Below are 27,131 nucleotides of genomic sequence, written 5' to 3' on the forward strand. Positions count from 1 at the left end.
GGCAAGAATAGTTTCGCCCACTGGCCTTTGCTGCCTTCCTGGGAAGATCTGCCTCTTCTTCCGGCTCTCACAGTGGGCCCAGCATGTTTCCAATATTGCATCAGTCTTTTCCCCAACAGAGTAACGCTTTAATGGGGCAAATTTGTTCTCTGCACGGGAAACATGTGGGCCCTTGTCAGGTGCTGCATCAGAGTGAGTTGCCCTCCACCAGCTTCCTAGATCTGGCCGTGTGAGGAGGCAGAAGGAGCCCTCTGAGACTTTGGGGTGAGTAACTCTTCTAAAAGAGCAGAACCATAATAGACTGTGTTTACATCAGCTCCGATTCCTGGGAAATTCATACAAAAGTTGTGTTGTGGTCTGAATTTTCTAGCAAACAGAGAAGGAAGCAGTTTGTCCAGTGTCACTAGACCTTACTGAAGGATTTTACATGCAGTGGGAAGGAAGAAACCCACTCCCTTCATCCTCCAAAAACCGGGATGGAGATGGTTAGCAAGGGGGTGTGGGAGGCAGCCCAGGGTAGGACAGAGTGTCCAGTCCCTCTTGTCAGTGAGAGCCTTCCTTGACCCCAAACCTTAAGAAATCAAATCCCCACTCTCCTGGGAACTTGGTTTTCTCTTCCGGAGCCCAGATTCGTTCCTGAGCCCCGAAATGCTGAAGCCAGCATTCCTCACCTCCAGGGAGCTGTGACATCCTGGGATGGTTTGTTTGATTCACCAACATCCTCTCTGCTTCCCCTGACCAATCAGGGGTCTATAACTTGCAGTTAAATAATTAAAGTCAATTAAAGTTTATTTCATTTTGAGCATTTCCCAAAGCCCTAGAGTAAATTGGAGTCTCCCTGGAGTATTGCAAAGCCGGGTTTGGAAATCTCAGATGAAGAGAATGTTGGGCAATGGATGATGGAGAAAAAGGAGAAACAAAGAGAAAGAGGTGAGGGAAAGAGCTTTCAGTTTCACTGGGTCTCCGCTTGGGGAGGATCTGGCTGGTTTAATGGTGATTCGATGCAAAAACCGTTGATTCCATTCTGATGTACTCAAGAACAGAGATGGCTGGAGACAGAGACAAGGAGAGTCAGAAAGCGACAGAAAGTAAGTCTCTCCGGGCCTCTCCACCCAGCCAATGACAGTATCACTTCAGGAAGAGACACTCCCTGTTCCCCAACTTCGGTTCCCCCTCCGCCAAAACCGTATGATATTTTAGGGAAGCCCCTCTTTATTCATTAGAAATCGGCTGCTTTGAGTTTGGCCCCTAAAAACTTGCCTCCTGCCCCGGAAGATTTATTTTATTAAATGGTCCACACCTGAAAGTAATTGAGTCTCGGCGTGGGTGCGGGGACTGCGGAGGGAGGGTCCAGGCGCGGCAGCGGCAGTGGCGGCGGCTCTCAGCTCCTCTCCAGCTTCGCACCCTGTGCCTCCGGGCGCCCTAGTCTCCCCGCCACGCCGCGACCTTTCCTCGGCCTCCCGCTCCCGCTTTGCGGAAAGGTCCGGGGCGCGTGTAGGGGAAGGAGAGAGAGGTATGTGGGGCGAGCGGGAGTTGAGCGTGGATGTGGGGAAGGGGGTGCGTCCTGCGTCGCCCCCGCACCCTCGCGTGGCCGGGCGCAGATCCCCGTGCACGGGTCCTCCGCACACCCTTGCCAGCCCGCAGGGATTGTTCGCCGCGTTGGTGACTCCTTCCCAAAATGGGAATAAAAGATCGAAATAGCTAGTAAGCATGCAAAGTTTATTGTCAACCTCAAGTCTCTATAAAACCAGATCAAAGGGAACAGGCGTTTGGTTTCTTCCCAGATCGCTGGGGGGCCTCGGGGCTCAGGAAGCCCCAGGAGTCCAGCCCGCTGCCGCTCACTGCGCTCTTCTCTCCAGCCGGGTCCAAGGGCTCGAGCATCGCAACCTGCGGCCTGAGTTGGCCCCGGGCGCACGCGAGGGAAATGGATGCAGTGCCCGTGAACTTGGGGCCTGAATAATTGATAACAACCCGCTGGGTGCCCGTCGCGCGGCCAGGCCTGCGGGGAGCGGAGCCGGAGGCAGCAAGCAAAGGAAACGCACGAGCCGGGAGCGCGGGCGCGCGGGGCCACGAAAGACCGACCGACTGTCCGACGGGCGGTGGGACAAGAGGACGGATGCTGTGGGGGGGCCCCGGAACCCGCCGCCACAACTCGCGGCCCACGCGGGTCGCAGCCGCCAGCCGTAGGGAGCTGCCGAGCAGCGACGTTCCGCATTCCATCGGGTTCCCGCGCCCTACTGGGCTTGTGCGGCGCAGTGCCTGCGTGTGCTTTCGTTTTCTCAAGGCCATTCTGATAAAACATACGTGCTGGTTCCCTTTCTTTTCTCAGAATGATTCTTCAAGGCGAATGACTCGAAATGGAGATTTCTTCTAACACCGCGTGATCACCGACAACTTTTGCAGGACGGGATGAAACTCCTCTGGGTTTCCAGTCAGATGTGCGAGTGGGCTCTCTTTAAATTATAAACCTGCAGTCTAACAGAGCCTTCAAGGTTATGGCCATGAGAAATGTGAGTGGAGATAAAACCTCACATCTTGAGGATTAACAAGGAGAATTTTTTAGTAGCAAAATTATATTCTCTTTCATCCCACATAAAAAAGAGTTGTAAGTTGTGGACGTTTTCTGCGTGTTATCAGTTTTATGTCCTGTAGAATTCCACCCCTCCAGACAAATTTCCATGCCTGCAGAGCCTGCTCATGGGTAAGACCACATGTCTATTTTCTGTGCCTGCATGTGCTGGCACAGTTATAACGAGGCACTGGACAGTTCTTGGTGATGGACCTTGGGAGAAGGGTCCCTAGATGGGTGGACATAGAGGGTCATTCATGTTTGGACACCTGGGAAAAATACCCAGGACTCCTATTGGTAAATAAACCAGCTGAAGAGGACCTTCACCACTTCCACAGTCTGAAGTTGCAGGAAATTCACAAGCAGAAAAAGGGCAGAAAAGTTAGAGGCCAAGGAAAGAAGATTCTTGCTGAGAGAGAAAGAATACAAAATATAAAGACAGACACAATGCTGAAATACACAAAAGGGATGGAAATTCACAAAATAAAAGATTCTGAGAGGGAAACAGTACAGAGAAAAAGGACAGAAAGAGATGGAATACTGTTAGAAAAAGAGAGAGGACGGGAGAAGAGACAAATGGAAGGAGAAAGAGTAGGTACAAAAAGATGTGGGAGAAGAAAAGCATCAAGAGAGACGAAGAGATAAAGAACCCCAGCCCAGACTAGGGGGAGGGAGGAAAGTATAGAAGCCTTGGAAACTGGGAGCCTCCCCACGACCAGGCACCTCCCCAGGGCCTTGCTTCTCAGGTTTCCCCAGTGCAAGGAAAATCCAGGGAAGCCTTTGTGGGCGCCGTTTGTTTGCTCCAGACCTGGATCTGATGATGCTGTTGATTTGGTTTTTAAACAGTGGGTTTGCAGCCTTCTGGGCTGGGGCAGGGGTCTGCTAGCCATACTTAAACCTGAAGATTGGATTGAATTTCGGCCACTTTGATGGTCCTGTAATCGTCTCCCAGTTTTCTAATTTCCAGTCCCCTCCACCCGGCTGGGGGTTGGAAGGGGACTTTAAAAACGCCTTTGATAACGTCTCACAGTTACATATTTCTATAACAATTTTCTCTACCAGATTGTTATGTTTGATGTAGCCCCAGATGTTCTGGGGGAGAAAAAGGGAACCAGTTCCCTCTGTCCCAGCCTGCCAGGCACGGGAAACAGGCGTGGGGAGGCAAACTCAAGTGCTGCAGGACGAGACCCTCCTCCAGCATTCGTCTCTCCTGCCACCCCTACTGCCAGCTCTTCCTCAGCCACACTTTGACTCTTTCACAGGGCCAGAGACCCATCCTGTGCATGCAGCTGTGGTACCACTGGAGCCCTAGATGTCTCTTTTCACCAAATCTTCCTTTTCCTGGATCCCCTTCTATTCTTTCTGCATGGTGACAGTTTGCAGTATATAAACTTCATGCTAATGTCATAGTAGGTCAAATTGGTTCCAGCTGCTCTCCTGGAGACACAGCGGCGTCCTAAGGAGCACCAGAAGACCTTTCTTTCTTCCTCAAACATTTATGGAACGTTACTATGGGAAGGCACTGAGATGGATGCCAAAGTCAGTTAAACATCTCCCACCCTGGAGCTGTGCAGTGTCTACACCACTGGGGAAATGAGACATGTATGTCAGGAACTTAGGCAGAAGCCTGAGTGAGTGTGAAGGATGCAGGAGAGAGAGAGATAAACAAGTGGCTACAGCGTTCAAGGGCAATGAGATGACTCTGGCTGGAGACATCTGAGAAAGCTGTGTGGAGGAAGTAGTGTTTGCTCTGGGTCCTGAAGGACATGCAGGGTTAGGCTGCATGGTGATGGGGAATGTTAGACACTGTGGTAGGCTGATGGGGAGGATATCCTGAGGCAGAGACACTTTCTAGTGCCCCCTCCCCAAACCTGACCTGAGTGGTGGTTGGAACAAGTTCATCTCCTTCAGTACATTTCACCCAACATTTGTTGAAATGAGTAACCAAACTGGGCACGTGTTGGTCACTGGGCATAGGAATGGAGGAAACAGATTCCTGCCTTCCTGGCTCCTGATGGTGTAGATCGCATTCCACAAATCTGCCAGGGGCTAGTCAGGGCTGCTGGGGCAGTGGACGGGGAGGCCAAGTAGACAGTGGGCAGGCCCCACCTCCACTTCAGCCAGACCAGTTTCACTTTTTCATTTTTCATGTACTGGGTTTCCATGAGGAGTTTCCTTTGGACGAAAAGGGTGGTTTTGTGGCAGAGAGAGAGTGAAAGAAGGAAAAGCCCTGGTTCACAGGCACCTGTGCAGTATGAAAACTAAGTGAATAATCTCTGGTTCACAGGCACCTGTGCAGTATGAAAACTAAGTGAATAATCTCTGGTTCACAGGCACCTGTGCAGTATGAAAACTAAGTGAATAATCCCTGGTTCACAGGCACCTGTGCATTATGAAAACTAAGTGAATAATCCCTGGTTCACAGGCACCTGTGCACTATGAAAACTAAATGAATAATCTCTGGTTCACAGGGGCCTGTGCATTATGAAAACTAAGTGAATAATCCCTGCTTCACGGGCGCCTGTGCACTATGAAAACTACCTAAGTGAATAATCACTGGTTCACGGGCACCTGTGCATTATGAAAACTAAGTGAATAATGCCTGGTTCACAGGCACCTGTGCACTATGAAAGCTAAGTGAATAATGCCTGGTTCACAGGCGCCTGTGCACTATGAAAACTACCTAAGTGAATACTTAACGAAAGATTGAGAGCCTGTCAGTAACCAAAGACTATGATTAAGCCATAATCCAATTCTGGACACCTGAGTTTCCATTTACCCCTCCCGCCCTCCACCACGTCCCCCTACCCTGTCCCAGGGTGTCTTCTGTGCCTTTCCTGTGTGTCTGTGGCCTGTGGATAGAGAGTGTACCGGATCGCATGCTACCCTTTTCTCTGGCATGGTCTTCCCGAGTCCTGCTCTTTTCTCCCACGCCCCAGCTGGTTGGGAGTGGCTGGGTTCCAGCTATTCCCAGAACACTCAGGAATCCCATCCTAATGATATCTCAAAGCCAGACCCCAAAGACGGGCGTCCACTGGGCTGAGCTCATACTCCCTCTTCTGTAATATCCCATGAGTTGCAATATGATAAAACGCCACCAGGGTGCAGGACAGAAACATGGGGCTCTGCTGTCTGAGGGCCAGGCTTATTTTCCACATAAAGGGTGGAGAGCTTACTGTAAGCACTGCCCTGTGGCCCCCACCTGCAAGAAGCTTATGGTCCCTCAGTGGCTTCAATGATACAATCCCCTACTCCTTAACTGGGGAGAGGAGTCTGTTGGAGTTGTAGCTGGAACCCCAAGTCTCTTCCAGCACTGCTCCACTTCCTTGCCCCCACAGCACGTCTCTGTGTGTTTCACCTACTTAGCTTCTGCCCAGGGTCCCCACTGGCTTCTCCACTGGCAAGGACCGAGGCCGAAGGAGCCTAGGCTTGGCTCTGCCTCCGCAAGAAGCCCCCAGGCACACATGAGGCATATTGACTCTTGTGGCTTCTCTTCATGTGGGACCTCTGAGGGAACAGGATGCTGGAGCCCAAGGCCAAGGCCTCTCTGCTCAGGGAAGACAAACCAGCTCCTGTCCCACTCCTCCATCCTGGGGACCCCCACCCCCACGCTAGACTGGGGTCTGCCCACAGGCCTGCCTACTTTCCCCAGCTGAGGAGAGGACAGGTCAGCCCCACTGTGCTGGGGCAGGGAGAATGCTGCTTGACAATGAGGCGTGCCCTGCGCATATGGGTGGGTGCTGGCAGTGGTGGCGGGAGGCTGCGAGCATTGACAGGTGACCGAGGGACCCCCATCTCCAGCTGGCCCTCAACACCTTAGCTCCTCAACCAAAAGACATGTATTAAGCACCTCCCTGCACAGGGCCCTATGCAAGGCACCATGGCAGGTGGGACAGTGATTTAGACACCATCCCCACGTGTGTCTGTGGACCCCACACGGGTGCTCTCATCTGACTCTGGCAGGCAGTTCTGTGTGTGGACCACCTAAGACTGTTGAGGGAGGGCTCCCTAGAAACATGCCCCGGGGGATGGGCTGGTGGGGCAGGCAGCAGGGGAGTAAGTGTCCCTTGTGGCTTTGAAGGAAGCATAATCTCCAAGCTCTGGGATAGCAGAGAGCATGCCTGTCGTTTCACTGCTGAATTCCCAGAGCCTGGCAGCAGGCCTGACACACAGTAGGCATTTTGTTAATGTTTGCTGAATGAATAACTAAGGGGGAGAAGTAAGAAGGCATTGAGACAAGGTGGTGGTTGAGCCTGGGACTCTGGAGGGGGTGCAGGTGGCTGGGTTCTGACAGTCCCCTAGCCAGGGCTGCTTCCTGGGTGACCAACCATCCCAGTATTTAATGGGAACTTCTGTGTCCTGGGAGGCTTCTCAGTCTGGGGCAAGCCTGGGTGGCTGGTCACCCTGCTGCTCCTCCCCTTGGGAATGGGCCATACAGTCAGTGCTCCCAGCCCTTTCCCTCCCTGGCCCTTCCTCCACACCCCCTTTCTCTTTCTTCCCTGCCCAGCGGGGTCTCCTCTCAGGAGACCTAGCCTAGCCTTGCCCCAGCCACAACCCCCCAGCCTGACCTCCGGGGCTGCCACTTCCCTTTCACTCGGCTACTCCTGATAAGGAGACTGGAAACAGGTTTGCCCTTTCACCTCTGCATATCTCTCCTCCAGCCTGCGGGTCCTCACATCCTGGGTCATATCCTGCGGGGGCCTGTGCACCACTGCATCAACCCCTGCTCACTTGCAGGCTACCAGCCCGAAGCTTTAGGTGGGAGAGGAGTGTGGGATGAGGGGCAGCAAGGCCATAGCCCTTGGGAGATGGGCCTCTCCTGTCTTGGCTGAGGACAGTCCAGGGGCCTGCTCCCAGGGCACAAAAGCTGGCTGGATAGGAGGGCTGAGCTGACTGATCCCTCCCTGGGATTTTGACTGACATTCTTGATGGAATTGACCGGATGTTTCTCCTTCACAAGAGACACAGCCTTAGGCAGGACAGCTGTGCCTTCCTCAGCCCAGCTGCAGCTGGAGGTGCTGAGAACCCAGAACCCACACTTCCTACTTTTGGTATAACATTGCTGGGCCAAAAGGTCTCCTGAGAAGGGCTGTGGGGGCTTCCACAGGGTCCTGGAGAGGCCGCAGGAGTCGCATCTGATTATCTCCTGACCTCATTCCTCCGGAGCTTTTGTCTCTGCTTGTGTCTGTGGACCCCACACGGGTGCACTCATCTGACTCTGGCAGGCAATTCTGTGTGTGGACCACCTAAGACTCAGAGACCCCTCAGGGTCGGCCCTAGGCCAGGCACTGAAACGTGCCAAAACCCACTCATTTTTGCAGAGTGCACCATCTGGGAACACTGCTGTCCAGAACTTCTACTCCCGTCAGAATGTGATCAGTTGCAGCTATTCTTTAAAAGAGTAATCAGTAATCTTTGCTGATTCAGAAGTCATTTCATGGATTTGCAGCATTTAGAGGGATACCATTGCTAACAACATCAATTTTGTGGCCTTGAGATGGTAAGAATTATCAGAGAACTTTTCCCTTTGGTGAAATCCCTGCACGGCAAATCCCAAAGTGGCCTGGAAGAGGGCAAGTTATCCACCTGCAGCCTGCAGGGAGCTGTGAAGGGAAGGGGGATGTTCCATCCTTGGTCTTAGGGTGGCTTGAGTGATTATGAGATTTGTATATGAATATGAGGCTCAGAGCTCATATATATATGTGTATATATATGTGTGTATACATATATATACACACATATACACACACACACACACACACATATATTTGAGACAAGGTCTCACTCTGTTGCCCAGGCTGGAGTGCAGTGGCACAATCTTGGCTTACTGCAGCCTCCATCTCCCAGGCTCAAACAATCCTCCCACCTCAGCCTCCTGAGTGGCTGGGACTACAGGAACGTGCCACCATGCCTGGCTATGTTTTGTATTTTTTGTAGAGACGGGGTTCTCACTTTGTTTCCCAGGCTGGTCTCGAACTCCTGGGCTCAAGCAGTCTGCCTGCCTCGGCCTTCCAGTGCTGGGATTTCAGGCAGAGCTCATATTTTTGTTTTAGCATCTTTTAGAGCTGTGTTTTTCAGACTTTAGTGACTTGAGTAATTTTCATGATTTTTGCCACATCTGAGTGTCACTTGTATCATTAACATTTTTCTTTAACTCATGCACAGACACACACACACACACACATCTTTTTAAAGGAAAATTTACATCCTTACTATAAATGGAACACCAGTAGTTATTAACAGTCATTATTAACAGAGTAGCTATAAAAATACATGAAACATAGTAATGTTATATTGTAGCTAGAGATGCCTGTGGAAGCCTTTTAGTCTCAGGTTTGCTTTCTTAAACAGGAATGTTACCAAGTGTTAGAGGGACGTTAACCTCTTCCCTACCCATGTGCCATATCTTTGGTGACCAGATGTAGCTATCATTTAAAGGGCACATTATAATCAGACAGGAAAGAGGACGGGAGAAGAATGATTTTCTCACTCTGTGTTTAGGGTGCCAGCTAAGATTATCTCAAGTTCTGCCCAGGGTTACTGAGGGGTTCCCTGGGCCTCTCCACAAGGAATTTTTCCCTGGCCACTGACCTAAAGTGTCCCTCTCAGCTCATTCCTGACTGTCCTTTCTCCAGAGCACCCTGCCATCAGACATCTGCTCACTGCAGCCACATTCTGCAACCCATAAGGGGAAAACGAATGGAGTTGCTGGAGATAGGGGGTGCTGATGTTGCCCAGAATATTCCATCTTTAATGAGGCAACCCTAGAAGGATTGTTTCCACATTCCTCAGTGGAGCTGCAGAGAATTTTCCCAAATGACTGTGCGACAACCCCAAGCATGAGAACATGCAGGGAATTCAAGCAACGCTTCCTCTGTGGACAGTTGTTAAATGATTTTCTCAGTTCCACATGCTCCCCTGCCTTCTAGGCTTGAGTGTCCAGCTGTCCATTGGTCCTTCCCATTTGCAGGCCTAGTGGGCATCTCAAACTTAACCTGTTCAAACAAAGCAGCAACTTTGATTTCCCCCACAAACCAGCTGCTCTCTCAGGTCACTTCTCAGTTAAAGGCACTGCCAGTTTCCAGATGCTCAGGCCCAAAAGCTTACATGTCCCTTTTCTTGTCCCCACACTCCATATCCAATTCAATCATCTGTCCTGTTGGCTCCACCTTCCCAGAATATCCAGAATCCACTGACCTCTGCTGCCCTCCTGGTCCAGTCCATGTCTCCACCATCTCTTGCTTGGACTACCCCAAATTCCTCCTAGCTGGTTTCCCTGCTCCTCCCCATTTGCCACACACCAAAGCCAGAGTGATCTTTTGAAGACTTAAATGTGATTGTATCACCACTTGGCTCAAAATCCCCCAGTGGCTTCTCATGACACTCAGAACAAAATCCAGTCTCCTTACATGCTATGACTCTTGCCTGCTTTTCCTTCCTCACCTCACAACCTCTGTCCTGGCTCAGCACATGCCAGTCAGTCTGAGCCAGCCAGGCTGGCTGCTTTCTGCAGCTCTGACACTCCGTCCCACCTCAGGGACTTTGTCCTGCTGTTCTCTCTGCCTGGACCACTCTCCCCTGATCCTCACATGGCTCTGCCCATCAGCTACACTTGGTTGGAATATGAATAATAATGGTGAACCACTTACTGGTAACTACTGCATGCCAAACATTATTTGATGGTTTTCACATGTGTTAACTCATTTGCTCCTCACAAGAACTCTTTCAAGTAAGTACAATTATTATCCTCATTTTGGAGATGAAGAAACTGAGGCACAGAGAGGTTAAGTAACTTATTCAAAGTTGCACAAATACTAAGAGGTAGAGCTAGAATTTGCATCCATGACATATGGCTCCTGGGTCCATGAGCTTAATGTCTGACTTCTGCCTCTAGTTACTTTTTCATTGAGATGCATCTTATGCAAGCAAAGTGCACTGATGCCAACTGCGCAGCTCAGCAAATATCTGCATGTGTTACATCTGTGTATCCACCTCCCAGATCTGGAGCCAGAACTTGGCCAATGTGCCCCAGGCTGCCTCCTATCACTTCAGTCAGTTCCCTTGAAAGTAACTCCTAGTCTAACCCCTGTCACTATTGACCGACATTGGGAAAGACTGTCTTTTATCTAATCCTGTTTGTTTTCTTAAAAAGTGCTGAAGTACCTTAATTTTTTTGTTCTTTAATGCTTCTGCTTGATTCAATGAAAAGAAAATTAAAATATTTCATGGACTCGGCTGGGCGCAATGGCTCATGCCTGTTATCCCAGCACTTTGGGAGGCTGAGGCAGGCAGGTCACTTGAGCTCAGGAGTTCAAGACGAGCCTGGCCAACATAGTATTGCAACTGTCTCAACAATTTTTTTTTTAATCAGTATAGTGACACATGCCTATAGTCCCAGCTACTTAGGAGGCTGAGATGGAAAGATGGCTTGAGCCCAGAAGCTTAAGGCTGCAGGGAGCCGTGATCACCACTGCACTCTAGCCTGGGTGACAGAGTAAAATCCTGTCTCAAAAAAAAAAAAATCTGTTAATACCAAATTTGGGAAGCAGCAATTTAGAGCCCTCACCCCCTACCCTGCCTACCTCAGCAGTACCTTCCTTAGTCTCCTAGATTGAGGGAGAGGTGGGCTGTTTGGGGACAATCCTGCTTGTTTGTCACAGCGCTGGGCCTGTGGCAGGTGTTTAGAACACCTGCTGATGGGTTGACCACCAGTGGTAGATGGTGCATCGCTGCCCTTGGAGTTTCTGGAGATTGGGCTTTTTTTGTCTAAGGAGGAGGCTCCAAGTTGCTGGATGTTGAGGTTAGATGCTCCGGGCTGCCAGCCTTGTACCAGGAACTGTCCTTCGCTTTCGGGGGGTCCCTGGGTGGACTCCCACTGTAACCAGCCCATTCTCACTCAGACGCTCATCACCCTCCCGCGCTCCATCTCCATCTGGCGGCCCGTCCCCACATTCCTCTACCTCTGACCTTCCTCATCTTCCTGCTTGGGGCAGTCCAGGTTCAAAGCTATGGGGATGTCACAGCCTAGGAATGAGGGCTTTCATCTAGGGGGATGGGTGCAGTTCAGACGGGAGAGAAATCCACAGATGGTTCTTTGCAAGCAGGTTGGGCTCAGCCTCTTATAAGTATTGCACTTGAAAGCCCCAGAGTGCTCTGTGTCCCTGGTCATTCCATCCATGTGCACACACACACACTAGCATGCATACACACATATGCATGCACATGCACATGCATGTGCACACACGCACACACACTTCCTAGTGTAGAACAGGGATTGGGTGGTAACAGTTGGGTGACCTGAATTCCCCGTCTGAGGATCCCTCCCCACCTTCTGCCATTTACCCCCAACCCCCTCTGTAGTTTCTCTCCAAATCTTTGAAATGCTCAGAGGTGCCTGGGAGCCAGGGCATGTTTTTATCGTCACAAATACACCAGAGAAGAGAGACAGCGGGGAAGTGAGAGAGAAAGGGCTGGAGTACAGACCCAGGCTGAGGACGCGGGGCAGGCTGCCAGGACGCAGAGCCAGGCCAGGGAAAGACACCATCCTCCGCAGGTTAAAGCTACTGGGGGACCTTTGATTGTGCACGTGGCCCAGCAAGCATGGGGCAGCCCTGACTTTGCCCTAAAGGAGGCTGAGAAGCAAGTTTGTACAACTTTGGGGGTGGGGATGTGGAGGAGTCCTGGGGCCCTCAGATGATGCTGCCCCTTCCCCTCCATGCCCAACTCACCCCATGTGGCCAAGCTGGTCACAAGCTCCAAGGTTCTCCAGCCTCCTGGGGATATCCCAGGAGGGGCAGGACGAGGATGGAGAGACTCAGGGGCCCAGCCTGCATGGCAAGAATCCCTCTCAGACCTACAGCTATCTCCCCTGCTCCAGCCCCACTTAGCACTCACTCAGAACTTCACAGGCTCAGACTTCCCAATCCCTGGCCTCCCCACTCCTGGGGCCTTTCCCCAGGTGTCAGCAGCAATTTCCTGCCATGCCTGGTGACAGGAGCCTGAGCCAGCCCAGGGGAAACCCAATGCCATGGTGTCAGCAGTGAGTGTCCTTCGGTTTCTGGGGAATGGGGCTGAGAAAGTGCAGAGCTGCGCAGCTCGAGGGGGCAGGGAGGACTGCCACTGCCCCCACCCCATGAACCCCTGCCCCTTCCACGCTTAGTGGAGACCACTGTGCCCACTCCTCTTGCACCCAAGGACCCTGGCAGAGACACCTCTTTCCTGCCTCATAACTGGACCAAGGCTGGAAAGAAACACTCACATCTGGGAGACAGTGCCTGGGTGGGCAGTGTCCTGCTCTGGGCAAGTTCATCCTTCCCTCCCCATACTGATGTAAGGATGCTGCTTTGGGGTGGAGTCAGAAGGGCCTCACCCCTTCCCCTCCCCTCCCCTCCCCATTCTAATCTAGCACCAGCATTCGGGGAAGTGTCTTCATCTCAGGCTCCGTTGATGACCAGCAGTTCACATCTTCTGCCTTTGGTTTTGCATAGTTGCTAGATCTGTGCAGGGCACCCACCTTCTCCCGGGGAGGGCCTGGGTCTCCTCTCTCCTCTCTATCCCCCTTAAGGTCAGCAGGGCTACTTTCTAAGAACTGGTCCTTGAGCATAGAGGCTGGTCACACTCGTGTGTGATCTCTACCTTGCTTCCTTTCCCTTTGCATCTGTGTGCTCTCTGTACCCGGAGCTGTGCTATATACCAGACAGAATCTCTGTTCTTGGAGGACCCATAATGTAGCGGGGGAAGCAGACTGGAAAACTTATATAATAGAGGAGAGAGAGGCTGTAATGAAGAAAATGCTGGCTTTAGGGCCAAACATTCACCCTATAATAATGTGAGCTTGGGAGATTTGTCAATGTACACATAACAGCATACCCCAAATGAGATATTTTATTTAGTCTAATTGCCTCTTAACAGGTTTGGATGCAGTAGATACACTGAATACATAGATTCAAAATGTAAATTTTGTATCCCTAATATATTCAGTCTTTTCCTAGATATTGCATGTGTCCCCCACCCTTGGCACAGAGCAGGGGCTAAGTCAAGGTTTGCTACATTGGATTGGATTGACTTACCTACGGTGGAGGTGGGAAGGGGAGATGACTCACAGTTGTAGGAGACACTCTGAGAAATGAGACTGGTCTCGGCCAGGAGGGACTGGGAGATGCATCCAGAGGCTTGGGACAGTGGGCAAGGGGCCATTGTTTGGTCTGGTCCCAAGTCCTGGCTGATGTCAGATTAGCTCTTTTCTCTTGGTTGGCAGGCCCTTTGTTGTTGTTGCTATTAGAACTTCTCTTGCATAGGCTGGCTGAGTAAGTGTGGCCCCTGCCTCCCTTCATCAGAAGTCTTCTGCCTGGGGCATAGCTGTGTGCTCAGTGCTTGAGACGGGTCCAGTACCTGTTTTCCATGAGCTCAGCTGTGGAATGCTGCTGCTGGGATTCATCTCAGAGGTCACCTTATAGTCCTGTCTCCTCCTTTTGCAGAAGAGGAAACTGAGGCTAAACATAAAGTAATTTGCTCAGGCCTGCCCATTTGAGGTTCCAGATTCTAGAGCTCCCAATCCAAGTCCCCGCTGACTCCAGGTATAATGTTGCCCAAAAATGTCAGTCTTCTCCCAGCCTCTTGCCCCACCAGGCCTTTATTCCATCAGCCTGGTCCTGACATTTATTAAGTACTTATGTCACTCAGCACTCTGGACTGTGCCTCATGCTAGATGAGAATGTCTTCAAATAAAATAACGTAGTTGTGGAAGAATCACCTGAGCCCAGGAGGTCGAGGCTGCAGTGAGCTGTGATTGTGCCACTGCACTCCAGCCTAGGTGGTGGGAGCCTGTCTTGAGGCCACCCTGGCCAACACAGTGAAACCCCCTATCTACTAAAAATACAAAAATTAGCAGGGTGTGGTGGCGGGCACCTGTAATCCCAGCAACTCGGGAGGCTGAGGCAGGAGAATCACTTGAACCCGGGAGGCAGAGGTTGCAGTGAGCCAAGATCGCACCACTGCACTCTAGCCTGGGCGACAGAGCTAGACTCTGTCTCAAAAAAAGAAAAAAAAAGAGAGAGAAGAAATGATATCATTTCAAATTTTTAAACTAAAACGCATAAAATGTAGCTGTACAGAGGATTCGCTACTTATTTTTCTGCTTCACCTCAGACTGGTACAAGCATTATCATGGACCAAAACACTTCTGTGGGCCTGAATTAGACCCAGGTCTGTCCCAAGCAGCCCATGCTCTGGTCTAAGGTGGGGATCCCCAGCCATTGCATACAGTCCCCTCTGGGAAAGGGCTGCCCAGAGCACTGGAGTCAGGTTGGGGTATGGGTAGAGCCAACCCAGGCCCTTCTCCTGGTGCCTGGTAAGGGAATGGAGGGCTCCGGGAAGGGCCTCTAGGAGCTCTGTCCTCAATTGTATGACATCATTGTTTCTATCCAGATCCTTTGACCCTCACACTAACCCAAGGCCGTTCCACCCTGGGGGTTGGGGCACTGGCTGGATATGGGCATTTGTACCAGCTGCTTTTCACACTGGCTGTGTGACCTTGGACCAGTCCCTGAACCTCTCTGGGTCCCTTTCCTTGGCTCACTGAGCTAATGTTAGGATAGCCATGAATGTAGCAAATGTACAGATGTATGGCTTTGGGGGCTCTTTAAGAAGTGACTGAACGTTCCAGTATCCCAGAGCACTTAGCTTACACCCCGCTGCTCTGTCTTACGGGTGAAGAGACCAAGGCCTAGAGAGGAATAGTGACAGACTCACTGCTAGCAGCAGATACAGAGTCGATGGTGGGGCCCGGGTTCTTGGCTCCCACTTCAGAGCCCTCCTCCACACCCCACAGCCTCCAGGTCTTCATCCAGCTTGAGATCTGCCCAGGAATGTAGTTTTTCTGCAAGCCTCTTGCCCTACCATGCCTTTGTTCCCTCAACCTGGCCTTGACACCTTCCGCTTTCCACTGGATTCTGTGTGTTCAGCTTACTCAGCTGTGTCCTCTCGGTGCCAGAACATCTAGGCACAGAGCTTGAGTCCAGATGCCATCGGGCTGCCATTGGGTGGTGGATACCATCGTTGATGCCCCCCCTCACCTCCTTCCCATCATCCCTCATTCCAAAGGCTAGGAGGTATCTCCTCCTCTGGAAAATTACTCTCCACTGGCTCCTCTAGGCCCCTGGGGTATCCCATGGCTTCCCATTGTGACCTCCCCTCCTGCCTCACTCCAGGACAGGGATTGTGGGCAGCCCTGGTCCCTCTGACTCTCAGGAAAACCCGTGTCTTCCCTCCCTCCTCCCCATTCTTTTTATCCTCCCTCCGCCCTTGGCCCCAGGTCCTCTCCCCCAGCCTTATCTGCCCAGGATCTGACCTGCAGATGCACTCACTGCTCTGCGTGCTCCTGACCCCAGGATGGCATCACCGCCCAGCCTGCCTGCCCTGGGGCCAGCTCCGGCCTGTTCTCCTTTCCTCTAAAAGCCCCCATGTCTTGAAGCTGATTAAAACAAACATAGCTCATATTTTTGTTCTTAATCCAATTCTGTGCTGGGCTAGGGTCGGAGAGGGAGGATAGGATGACAGAAGCACATTCCTCACTATGCCAGAGGGGAGAGGCAGGGCCAGGTACCTGCCAGGAAGTACCCAGCATTGGGGAGGCCATGATCCAAGTGGGGTGCTGATGGGCAGAGGTGGATGGGCCCTTCCCTGGGTATGACTCAGCTGCTGCTCCCTGGTCAGGGGAGTAGCAGGGTCAGAAGTTCTCTAGGGCTTTCCCAGAGGCGGGGGCAACACGCCTTTCTGGGAACAGCCAGCAGGGGTGGGGGCTCCCAATAGAGGCCTTTATTCTCTCTTGCCTGGGAAAAAGACAGGATCTTCTTGTCTCAGTCGACCCCTTCCCATGACATCCCTCCTCAACACTTTGCCTTCGGGTTCCTCAGGACACACAGACTCAGATATGTGCCATGGACACCTTCATATCCTGTAGGCAGGGCTCACAGGCCTCTGAGTTGGAGGAGAGGGTGTGCGATGGTGCATACAGTCTGGAGGCTCAGCAAGTGACTGGGTTTGAATCTTGTTCTACCACTTACTAGCTGTGTGACTGTGGACAAATTCTTTAATCTCTTTGCACCTCAGTTTCACCAACCGTAAAGTGGGTGTGGTATTAGTACCTACCTCATAGTATCATTGTGGAGAAGTATGGACCTACAGCGTGGACACCAAGAACAGTATCTGCATCGTATTGCAGACTATACTAAAAGTACTCTCTAAAAATATAATAACAAGCATGAGTGTGCCTAACACTGGGCATGGCACATATTGATTGGATCTTAAAATTGTGTGATTTCATTGCTAACTGAAACCTTAAGAGACATTTTTGTCCAAGAGAGGAGGGAAGAGATAGTTAAAGCAAGTAAAAAGGAAAAGGAGAAAAAGAAAAGTTAAAAAAAAAAATAGAATGATTTGGAGGAGAAGAGGAATGAGACTAAAGAATATGAAAAGTGAAGAGTGAGGAGGGACAGGAAAAACTGCCAGGAAGGGAGGGAGGGAGGGAGGGGGCCGGCAGGGAGGGAGGGAAGGAGGAGAAGAAAGCAAGCTAGATAAGAGGATGAAGAGGGGAGGGGGTGGTGGGAGAAAGATGGGAAGGGGCCCAAAGAGAGGGGACTGCTGGTGAGGGGCCTCAGTGACTGCCTTGGGAATGTGCAGAGCTAGGATTTCTTCCTGTCCACCAGGACATAAGATTTCTTCTCCCCCCATCCACTGGAACAGCCTCTTGCCCACCTCCAATCCTCCACCTCCACCCTTGCCTTGCACTTCGAGTCAGGATCCCTGCGAGAGGTTTCTGGACTAGCTAGCATCAGAGGACCAGCTGGGGAAAATCTCTCTTGGGCAGTAGGTTTATAGTAGGTTCATAGAACTGTAAATTCATAATCTTTCAAGGCTAAAGAAAATGCTGGCATTGATAGTTCACCTACCTGGCCTCCTCCAGAATGGCCTGTGTACCTCTCAGGACAGGACCCTCACCACCTGTTCAGAGGTGTTTACTGGGCACCTTCCAAGACTGAGCTACAGCTACTGTGGCTGCAAATCAGTTGAATGATAAATAACAATTTTGTGGGTACTTATTTTTGGCCCCACGAGAAGGACAGAGGGCAAATCAGTGGGACCCTAGCATATGCTGGGCCCACAACGGGTGGATGCATGGTCAGCCTAACTGGTCATCCTTGCCTCCCAAGTTCCAGGGGTCTTTCATCCTCCTTCCACACCCCAAGGGCACTTGGCTTGGGCTGTGATAGTTCCCCATACCACAGCTGGAAACCAAGATGTGTCAGCAGGTCAGAGGAAGGGGGACTAGAGATGGCCCATAAAAATCTTGGGCTCCCTGTAAACAGAGAGGGTCTTTGAAAGCCCAAAGCACTTTTATGTGCTAGTTAAAGGGCCTTCCTGTTGTGTCGCCAGGATTTATAGGGACATGGGCTGGGGAATGGGGGAAGGTGAGCCACGTGCAGCCTCTACCTGCAGATATAGCTCACTCCCTGGGCTTTTTGGAGCTGCTACTCTCTGGGTTCCAGGGGAGAAGGGAGGAAGGGGATATCTTAGTAACTTCTTGGCCGTCACACTCCATTTACCAAGGAGGGACTGTGAGGCTCCTCCTTGATGCTTTAAGATCCTGAACCACCCCCCTGGGGCCACGTTCATGACCAAGGCAGCAAGCACATATTCCAGGCCAGCAGTGTCTACAGCTAGGGGGAAAGAGGTGTCAAGACAGAAGCAGAACTCTCGAGGCGGAGGCCAGGCTACCGTATGCATTGTAAGCGTGCAGGACTAGGAGAATCCAACTGTTCCATGGCAAGTCTTTCCCGTGCCCTGTGCCTGATGCTAGCACCAAGGGATCACAGGGAGTGACCAGGTGTCAGTCCCATCTCGATTCTGTGAGTTAGGGATGCCCATCCATCGACCTGCCTCATCGTGACACCCTGTAAGAATGTGATATCCATTAATTTAAACTTACAAAAGCTGGGCACAGTGGCTCAGACTTGTAATCCCAGCACTTTGGGAGGCTGAGGCTGGTGGATCCCTTGAGCCCAGGAATTGGAGATAAGCTTGGACAGCATAATAAGACCCTGTCTCTATTACAAAAAAAGAAGAAAAAGCTCCACACAATCAATGTGTTATTCCAGCCCACTCTCCCTCTTGGAGTTATGAGCTGCATATTTTACTTTCTTTCTGGGAGAGGAGGACCCTCCCTGTTCGGTGTCATGGGAGGAAGCTGCCCTTCCCTGCTGTTCCACAGCAGCCTGCACTTACACCCTACTGGGCCTGTCACAGTGTCACAGACCATGGGTTCTCCTAGACTGAGCTCAGTGCCAGTGTTCACTGCTGCCCCCGGAGCCAGGCAGGATGCAGGGGGATTTCCGCACACGGCCCCCTTTCACCCTCGCTCTGCCCTGCCAGGGAGATGCTCGTATCCTCCCCAGTTTAGAGTTCAGGATGGGGAGAGCTGGCACCTGCCAACCTCTTCTTTATCAGCCCTCTTCAAGAAGCAGCACATACATTCTTTCCTTTAATCCTCCTGGTCTACCCGCTGGGTCATATCCACCCCAATTTATACATGAGGAAATTGAGGCTCAAGGAAGTTGGGTAACTGCGGAAAGTTCCAGCCAGGTGGGGTCCAGCCCAGAGCTGTTTCCCTGTGCTTTTATTTCATCTGAGCTGTAGGTTCCCTGATCTCCTCCTCCTGGGATGCTGGAACATGGAGAAAATCCCTGCTCCCAGCTGATGTCAGAGGCGCCCCAGTCTTTGTCGCTCAGGCCTGCGTGTCTCTGTCTGTCCTGCAGCCCATGCCCTTGGTGGCCCACTCTGGCTGCTCTTCCGGACCTTCTTCATCCTCATAGGGATCTCCCCTCCCTCCTGGGGAGCAGCAACCAGAGCCACACTTGGCCTCCTAAGTCTGGGGTCCCAGACTGGATACAGGGCTCTGTATCCAGGCAGGAGGACTGGCCTCACCGTGACCTCCGTCTCCAGCCTGCCGGCCAGGAGTGCCCATCATGGCCTCAGGCCTTTGGCATTCTTCCTTGATGCTGCAGTTCCCCTCTGCTCCTCTGTGACCCTATTGAGTTTCCCCAGGTCCGGCCAACCAAACACTGCCATATGGGGGAGAGTTACATTTCCTGTGTGTGTGTCAAAATATCTGAGCGGATGTGAAATACATCAGACATGTATAAAAATAAACTTTTACAGGGTGACTGACTACTCCCCTCCAAGGAGAACCAGCGATTCACTCTTCATCTGGGGCCCAGAAACTTAGCTGGGGCCTTGGGGACCACTCCCCATGCCTGGCTCCTCACGGCCATCCTGCTTCACTTCCTTGGGCTCTGGGCCAGCTCCTCTCCCGGAAAGCATTCTCCCCAGGGCTCTGCTGGTGTGTAAACCCCTCCCCAATAGGCATGAAGTTAGCAAGTCACCTCTCTGGGCCCCAGTTTCTTGATGGGTGTGGTAGGGGGTTGCTTTTTCAGCTCGCCGTTGTCTCTGACAATCCACGACTCACAGCCTGTGACTCCCCAGTCTAGGCTACGGCAGGACCATCCAGTCACCTATTCTGGTTTGCAGGAAGCAACATCCCCAGCCTTATATCAGAAATTTCTCCCTAAATGTAATTCTTAGTCATTCCAGACTCAGATGCCACCCCTTGCAGAGAAGTAGGGGAGGGGTCAGGTGTAAGTGGGAGCTTGAGGGGGTGCACGGTGGTTTTGGATAGCTCTGGAGATTCCTGCCTTGACCACTCTGAGACCCTGAAGCAGCTTGGACAGAAGACCCTATCTGTTAACCTATGTGATTCCTACCAGATCCCATTCTAGGGCCGTTGGTTCCTGTCTGGTAAAGAATCCGGTCTGGCCGTGACAACTGCCTTTGCCCAGCCAAGGGGCTGGAGGGTCCCAGTTCTGAAGACTCAATGCCTGGCACATAAGCTTAGTCAGGACCCAGAGGCAGAGTGCTAATTTCTGTTTCCCTGCAGCCCCATCCTGGTTGGAGGGCTCTTCTTCCTTCCCAACTGGGCTACCAGCAGGCAGGGAGGGAGGCCAGGGCCACCCCACATGACTCTCCCACCTTGTTTCCTGGCCTCTGGGACATCACTGCAGATGCACCACTCCCAACAGAGTCTGGCGTTGATGGGCAGCTGCCATCCTGCCAGGAACCTGGTGCCAAGAGCTTGGGCTGTGGGACTGGCCCTCAGCCTCAATTCAGCCAGACCCACCCATCACCTGACCCATGCCCACTGCCTCTCAGGCCTCCTTTGAGTACCTTGTGTTCAGGCCAATTGCAAATGCCAGAGATAGCTTCAGGCCAGCAGTTATTGAATCTGGGGTCCACGCTTCTGCTGGGTGGGAGACAAAGGGAGGCAGTATTTTGGAGAGGCCAAAGGAGAGGCAGGGCTGACAGCTGGCTCTCTTGTCTTTCTCTAGTTCTCTCCAGGGCAAAGACCCCACGTAACATTCTTGCCAGCCCCTACCACCCCCAATTCTGGTGCCAGATGCTCTATACTTCCCACCTTACCATGAGTCCTGTCCCTTCCAAGACACTTAACTCTTAATCAGGTCCCTGTTAATGAAAGTAATGGGGTGACTTGTCTGTGGGTCCTAGGAGCATTTATTAGGTAATAAACTTAATGTACAAAAGGTAGTCAGTCCAGTGTGATATTCTTGCAGTGGAAGAGGCACTTCAGGGCAGAAGCTCATATTGGTGACCCCTGGGATGGCCATCAGCTAGGATATGAGGCTGCTGGTCCAACAGGTAGTCACTTGGGTTTTGATACCAGGAATGACTCCACTGAAGTAGTTCTGATGGTCTGCTATGGAGCTTGAGGCAGCCCCTGATCGGACCCGTTTTTCCATACAGTCCATGCTGCTCATGGGACCATCCAATCAGCTGTTGGCTGGATTTAAATATTCTCCCTCTTGCTTTTGGCTCCAGCTTGTTCTGATGAGTGGCTGCATGTGGCTAGTGCTACCAGCTAGAGGAGCAGGAAGTCAAACAAAATAATAGGCCAACCCTAACTGTAACCCTAACCCAACATCCCACCTGCCAACTGGACTTCCTTGGGGTTAATCAAGCCTAAGTCAAATCCAAGTTTACTAGCCCCTTGTTCTGTTCAGCTGTAGTTTAGTCTCTCTTCCCCTAACAGAGATCTGTCTTACAGGTAGCTCAGTTCCCCCAAGCCCAGCTTTACTCTGTTCCCAGCTTTCTCACTCTTTTTCCCTTGTTCCTTCATTTTGGTCTTGGCTTCCTCTGGGGCAGATGTCATGCAGCTTGTTCCATGTCATCTTCTCTGGCAGGAGCCTGCTTTCCTCAACTGACAGAAGGGGTCTTGTTAGCAGGAATCTCACCCAAGGACTCGCCTTAGCACCCTTAGGCCAAGAGTCAGGCTGAAAGGCTAGCACAAGCTGCCCTGGTGAAAGACCAGCCTTTGTATCTCGCCAGGAGCAACAAGGACTCTCTCTGGTCCTGCACGATCCATGTGGCAGCATCTTTAGATTGGCCACTGGCTTCTCCACCCACACCTGGCTGTAGACTTGCAAGACCAGCAAGAGCAGGAGGTGTTCAGGGCAGGGCTTTGTGGGCCCCTTCTTGGTCCTGGCTTTTAATGCATCGTGTTTGATCTTTGCCACGTGGTGGAGGGTTCCTGTCGCTCTGGTTGATGACACAGATCTTCAAGGAAGCAGTCACCCCTGTAGGAAGGGGAACATTTATCAAAGCCATTCCCAGGGGGGGTGCCTGCCAAGTCTAGGCCCTCAGCTGGACCTTTGTAGAATGTCCAGAATATAGCTACCATTCTGCCTGGCCCAGGAGGCCCTCTGCTTCTCCATCTAATCTGGCCTAGATGGGAAGAAATCTTTTTTTTTTCCTTATTCTTGCAACCAAGATAAAATTGTAGATTTTTCAGGAAGCACTTTAAGAGGAAACAAAAGGGAAAAAAGTACTCAAGAACCACATGGAGGCCAGTGGCTCATGCCTATAATCCCAGCACTTTTATCATCCTGAGGCAGGATGATAAAATTGTAGCGATCCTCCTGCCTCAGCCTCCTCAGTAGCTGGGACTATAGACACACACTACCATGCTCTGCTAATTTTGGTATTTTTATACAGATGGGGTTTCGCCTTGTTGCCCAGGCTGGTCTTAAACTCCTGGGTTCAAGCCATCTGCCTCTTGGCCTCCCAAAGTGCTGGGATTAGAGGTGTGAGCCACCACGCCCAGCCTGTTTGGTATGTTTAAATGCATGGCAGTCCCACAGCTACAGGTTGAAGCAGACTACTTTTTGCCAGCTGAAATCACACAGCCCAGAGTGCAGACGGGCACAGGAGATGCCCCTGTGTTGATCATGATTAAAGCACCCTTAACAGAGATGATGGGCCACCAGCCACACCATGGGCAGTGTCTCCTCCAGGGCACACCAGAGAAGGCCATGAGGGAGGGAGAAACTCACTCTTGGCACCATAACACTGGCTGGGGTCCTGGTGTTCCGAGAGCCCCAGTGGAGCTCAGAGACAGTGTGGGAAAGAAAGCCCCCTGCTGATCCCAGCTTAGGTTAGCAGGGCATGTGTGTACGTGCGTTTGCGTGTGCGTGTGCATGTGTGTGTAAGACAGAGTGAGTGATAGCTGTGGGCTGCTCCTTGGGGACTCCTGTGCTTGTGCCCTGCAGGGATGCAGAAGTCTTGGCTCCAGGAAAGAGCTCTTCTGTGAAGGTGACGGCCCTGCCTGTTTCCTGACTGCCTCGCCTCTCACTCCTTTGCTGCACTCCAGCTCACCGAGTCCCACACTTCCACATGGACTTGCGTGTGCTGGGCCCTCAGTCAGGGCATCCTTCTTCATCAGGGCAACTCCTGTTCCTCCTTCACACCCACCCAAGCTCCCTCCCAGGTGAAGCCTGTGATCAGGGCCCACCTCCTGCTGGAGTTAGAACTTCTTTGCCTCCATAGTAAAGTTTACTATCCTGTTCCTGCTTCAGGGCCAGGCGATGTCTGTGCTCAGACCACGACCCCGAAGAGGAGGGCAGGAGTATGGCTGGTGATCTGCAGGAGGAGGGGGCTGGTCTCCACGTGAGACCTTGTGCCCAGGCCCCAGGCTGGCTTGGTTGGTGTCAGCTGCTGGACTGGCTGGTGAGGTCACCAGTGACATCTAGTGGTCACAGCAGGCTACAGCCCGGTGAGGTTTTCCAGCAGTTGTGAGTTCCATGTGGTCTCTGGAGCCAGGTTTCTGATCTGCTCCCAGCCAGTGTCTGACTTCTCCAGGGCTCTGGGACACCAGCACAGGGCAGGACTTAGGTTGTCTGGTGTGAGGACTGAGGCCTTTCAGATATTGGACTACCCACTGTCAGCCAGAGAGGGCTGGGACTGTAAGTGATGTCCCCTGGGCTCCTGTGGCCCCATGAGATCTGCTGCCTTCCTCCTGCTCCAGCTCCTTGGCCCTGCAGGCCCCAGGCTCAGGTTCACCTGGGCCTCGGCTCCCTGAGACCCGGGAAGGGAGGAGGCTTTAGGGCCCTCATGGGAGAAGCCCCAAACCCATTTTGGTGCAGCTGCTGAGACAGCCAATGCCAGCCAGTGGATGACAGGCAGGGAGTGGGCCATACCTACTGAGCACCTACTATGTGCCAGGCACTATGGAGGGCAGCCTGGGTCAGGGGCCACCTAAAGAGCTGCCGGTCCTGTCCTATGCTAGGCCTGACAGGGCACAAAGCAGCCCTCTTCCTCAAAGGGGTAAGAGGTCCCTGATGACAGCAACAGGAGGTGGCACAGGCTGAGTGGGGTCTCCAGCAGCATAGTGGTGGGCCTGGGGCAGCCCTTGCCACAGGGCTGTGTCTGGTGACCTGCCAGTCTTCACCTCACCATTGCAGGTGCAGGCACATCATGGGCGCTCGAGACACACTGTTGAGTGATGCGGCTATATGGGCTGGAGGCAGCAGGTTATGCTGGGGACCACAGCTTTGTGCTCTCAGCTTCCCAGATTCCACTTTCTCTACCAAAGTTTCCCCGTGAACCATTTGCAGACTGTAAGGAGAGCGGGGAGGACTGTGTTCTTAGAAGGGAGGCCTGTAGCGCTACTGACTGCACTTGGTTTGCATGAACTGTCCCTTCATGCTCCTGCTTCTCCCACCCCGCGCCCACCCCAGTTCTTTCCTTTTCTACCTTCTTCCCTGGTGCTGCTCCCCTGCCTGCACTTTTTATCCCATCCCCTTTCCGTTGTGTCCCTTCCACTGTTCACCCCTTTCCAAGCACTTCCTACACTCGGCTTTCTTATTCTCCATTCCTTCTCCGTTTCTCTGTCTTGCTTTTGCTCTCCTTCTCTGTCTCCCCAGGTTCTGCTCCATCCCAGGCACCTTCCTTGGAAGGCCAGCCTGACATCATTAAAGTGCAATAACTTCATCATTTTCCAGGGAGTGAGGTGGGCAGAGGCTATAGTTTATCTTCTATATGAGCCTTTCCTGTGGCCCCTGGGAGTGGTTGTGAACTTCCCACCTCCTGGGGCCCCTCTCAGCAGTCAGCAAAGGCCTCTGCTTGCCGACCTGTGCAAGCAGTGGGGCCCACCCCGGCCTGTGGGGATTCACACTTTGGGCACAGTTCTAGGCACAGTGGGATCTTCATTCACTGTCGAGGGGTGACAGTAAGAGCTGCCGTTTACATTTATCAATTAAATCTATACGTCTGGGTGTCTTCATGGGTTGGATGCTGTGTGAGGTCCTGGGGGTATGGCCTACCTATTTTGGCCCTCACAGCAACCCTGCAAGGGAGGCTGGGCAGTGACCACACTCCCGTTAGACAGAGGAGGAAAATGGGGCTCAAGGAACAGGATTGCTCAAGGCAGGCCCCAGGCCGGCAGCTGGACACTTGGCTTTTATCCTGAGGAGTTCACACCCTCAGCATTCAATGTCCAGTCCGTCTGCTCAGGAGATTGCAAAGGGCTTCTGAGGAACCCAGATGTTCACAGACCTGTTCCGAAGCACCCTCCCACGCCCATCCATCTTCCCTGCCGGACATTGTGCTTGTTTCCCAGTGACACAAATTGCATTTGCAGTTGTTTTCAAGATAGCCTAATACTATCCAGCACTGTCTGCACACATTGATTCCTTTCCCCAAGTCACCAGACCCACTCATTCCCAATAATCTTCCCCCCTAATTATGGCAATCATTGTCTGATTGCATGCTCCGATTACACAATTACATTTTCTAATGCTAATTGCATAATTATCACAAGCAATTACATGGGAAAACATAAAATTTCCAGGCTCCAAATGTGATTTGAGGGTCCAGCAAAGTGCCCCCACTGTCCCCCTTAGGAAAGGCAATGGGGTCTCCTGGGCACAGACACAGCAGCTGGGTAGTGACCATCTCTCTCGGCTTCTCTGGGCACCACTAATTCTGAAGCTTCTATCTTCATGGCCCAACTAGGACTCTCTAGAACAGGTAGCCTGGTTTAGAAAGTGTGGCCCAGCAGATATGACTCTCTAAGCCCCAGTCACAAGGGCCCCTGCCTGCACGCAGCCGCTGGTCTGGGAGAAACAAAGCCTGAGCTGTGGTGCTCATGTGCTTCTAGAAGCCCAGGCCCAATATGTCTTCTTCAGTGGCTTCCAGTGTCCTGGGCAGTGTCTGGCTGGGTGGATGGGTCTGAGGAAGAGATGCTGGAGGCAGGCAGTTGATTTTCATCTTTCTGCTTTGCTCAGGACATCTCCCATGGTGTGGCCCCAATCCTGTCCATCTGATGGTTTGTCCACCACTGAGTCCTCCCCTCTAGAGGCTGGGAGTGCCCACATGGCCAAGGAGAAACCTCATCCATCCCCCTGCTCCCTCTGCAGAGAGGCCCTGCAGTAAGAGAGTCCACAGGTCTCCCCCACACTGTATGTACAGGTACATTTACAAATTCTATCTTATTTCAAATGCACCAGGGGAGCTGGCTATTTAAAGAAATGCTATAGAAGATCCTTTGGTAAAGACTGGCCTCACTTTCTGATTGATTTTTTATGTAATTTTGTATTTTCATCTCTCTAGGGCAGGAGGTGGGGGTGAGAGAGAGGCTGCAGGCGGGTTTATGTCTTTCCACAGCCTGCTGCACTGGACCTGCCCTGCATGCCCCTGGATGGCTCAATGTGTCTCAATTTTATCTTCTTCATTTGACAGGCGGGTATTCAAGGCATTCTGTGTACCAGGCTTGTGTTGGAAGCGTGGGACACAAAGGCAGAGAAGACCTAGTCCCAGTCTCTGAGAGCTAATGAGGTGTGCTAGATGCATTCACGTAAGTAAGTTCAAGGGGAGCAATGGTTGCATGGAGGGAGGTGGGATTATCTCTTCCCAGGGCTGGGGAGAGCAAAGAAGCCTTCATGGAGGAGGTGATTTTCAACCTGAATTTTTTTCTTTCTTTTTCTTTCTTTTTTTTTTCTTTTCTTTTTTCTTTCTTTCTTTTTTTTTTTTTTTTTTTTTTTTTAGAGGCAAGATCTTCTTATGTTGTCCAGGCTGGTCTTGGACTCCTCAGCTCAAGCTATCTTTCTGCCTTGGTTTCCAAAGTAGCTGGGACTATAGGCATGCATTAACCTGAGTTTTG

At 51.9% G+C, this 27,131-nt stretch overlaps 1 long non-coding RNA gene across 1 annotated transcript, besides 2 other annotated features; it reads left to right on the forward strand.

Moving 5' to 3' along the window:
* The first annotated feature begins 99 nt into the window (after positions 1–99).
* Positions 100–27,131, forward strand: LINC01397 (long intergenic non-protein coding RNA 1397). The gene is made up of 4 exons (NR_126382.1): positions 100–264; positions 26,257–26,440; positions 26,711–26,825; positions 27,017–27,131. It is a non-coding gene; the product is annotated as a long intergenic non-protein coding RNA 1397 (long non-coding RNA).
* Positions 2,048–2,097: a silencer, noted in NCBI's record as "silent region_1167". NCBI's record gives its function as "represses an Ori minimal core promoter by ATAC-STARR-seq in GM12878 lymphoblastoid cells {active_cell/tissue: GM12878}" and the evidence as "EXISTENCE:reporter gene assay evidence [ECO:0000049][PMID:35858748]".
* Positions 19,478–19,587: an enhancer, noted in NCBI's record as "active region_1461". NCBI's record gives its function as "activates an Ori minimal core promoter by ATAC-STARR-seq in GM12878 lymphoblastoid cells {active_cell/tissue: GM12878}" and the evidence as "EXISTENCE:reporter gene assay evidence [ECO:0000049][PMID:35858748]".

The sequence above is a fragment of the Homo sapiens genome, chromosome 1 (assembly GCF_000001405.40).
Source record: "Homo sapiens chromosome 1, GRCh38.p14 Primary Assembly".
In the NCBI taxonomy this organism is placed as follows: domain Eukaryota; kingdom Metazoa; phylum Chordata; class Mammalia; order Primates; family Hominidae; genus Homo; species Homo sapiens.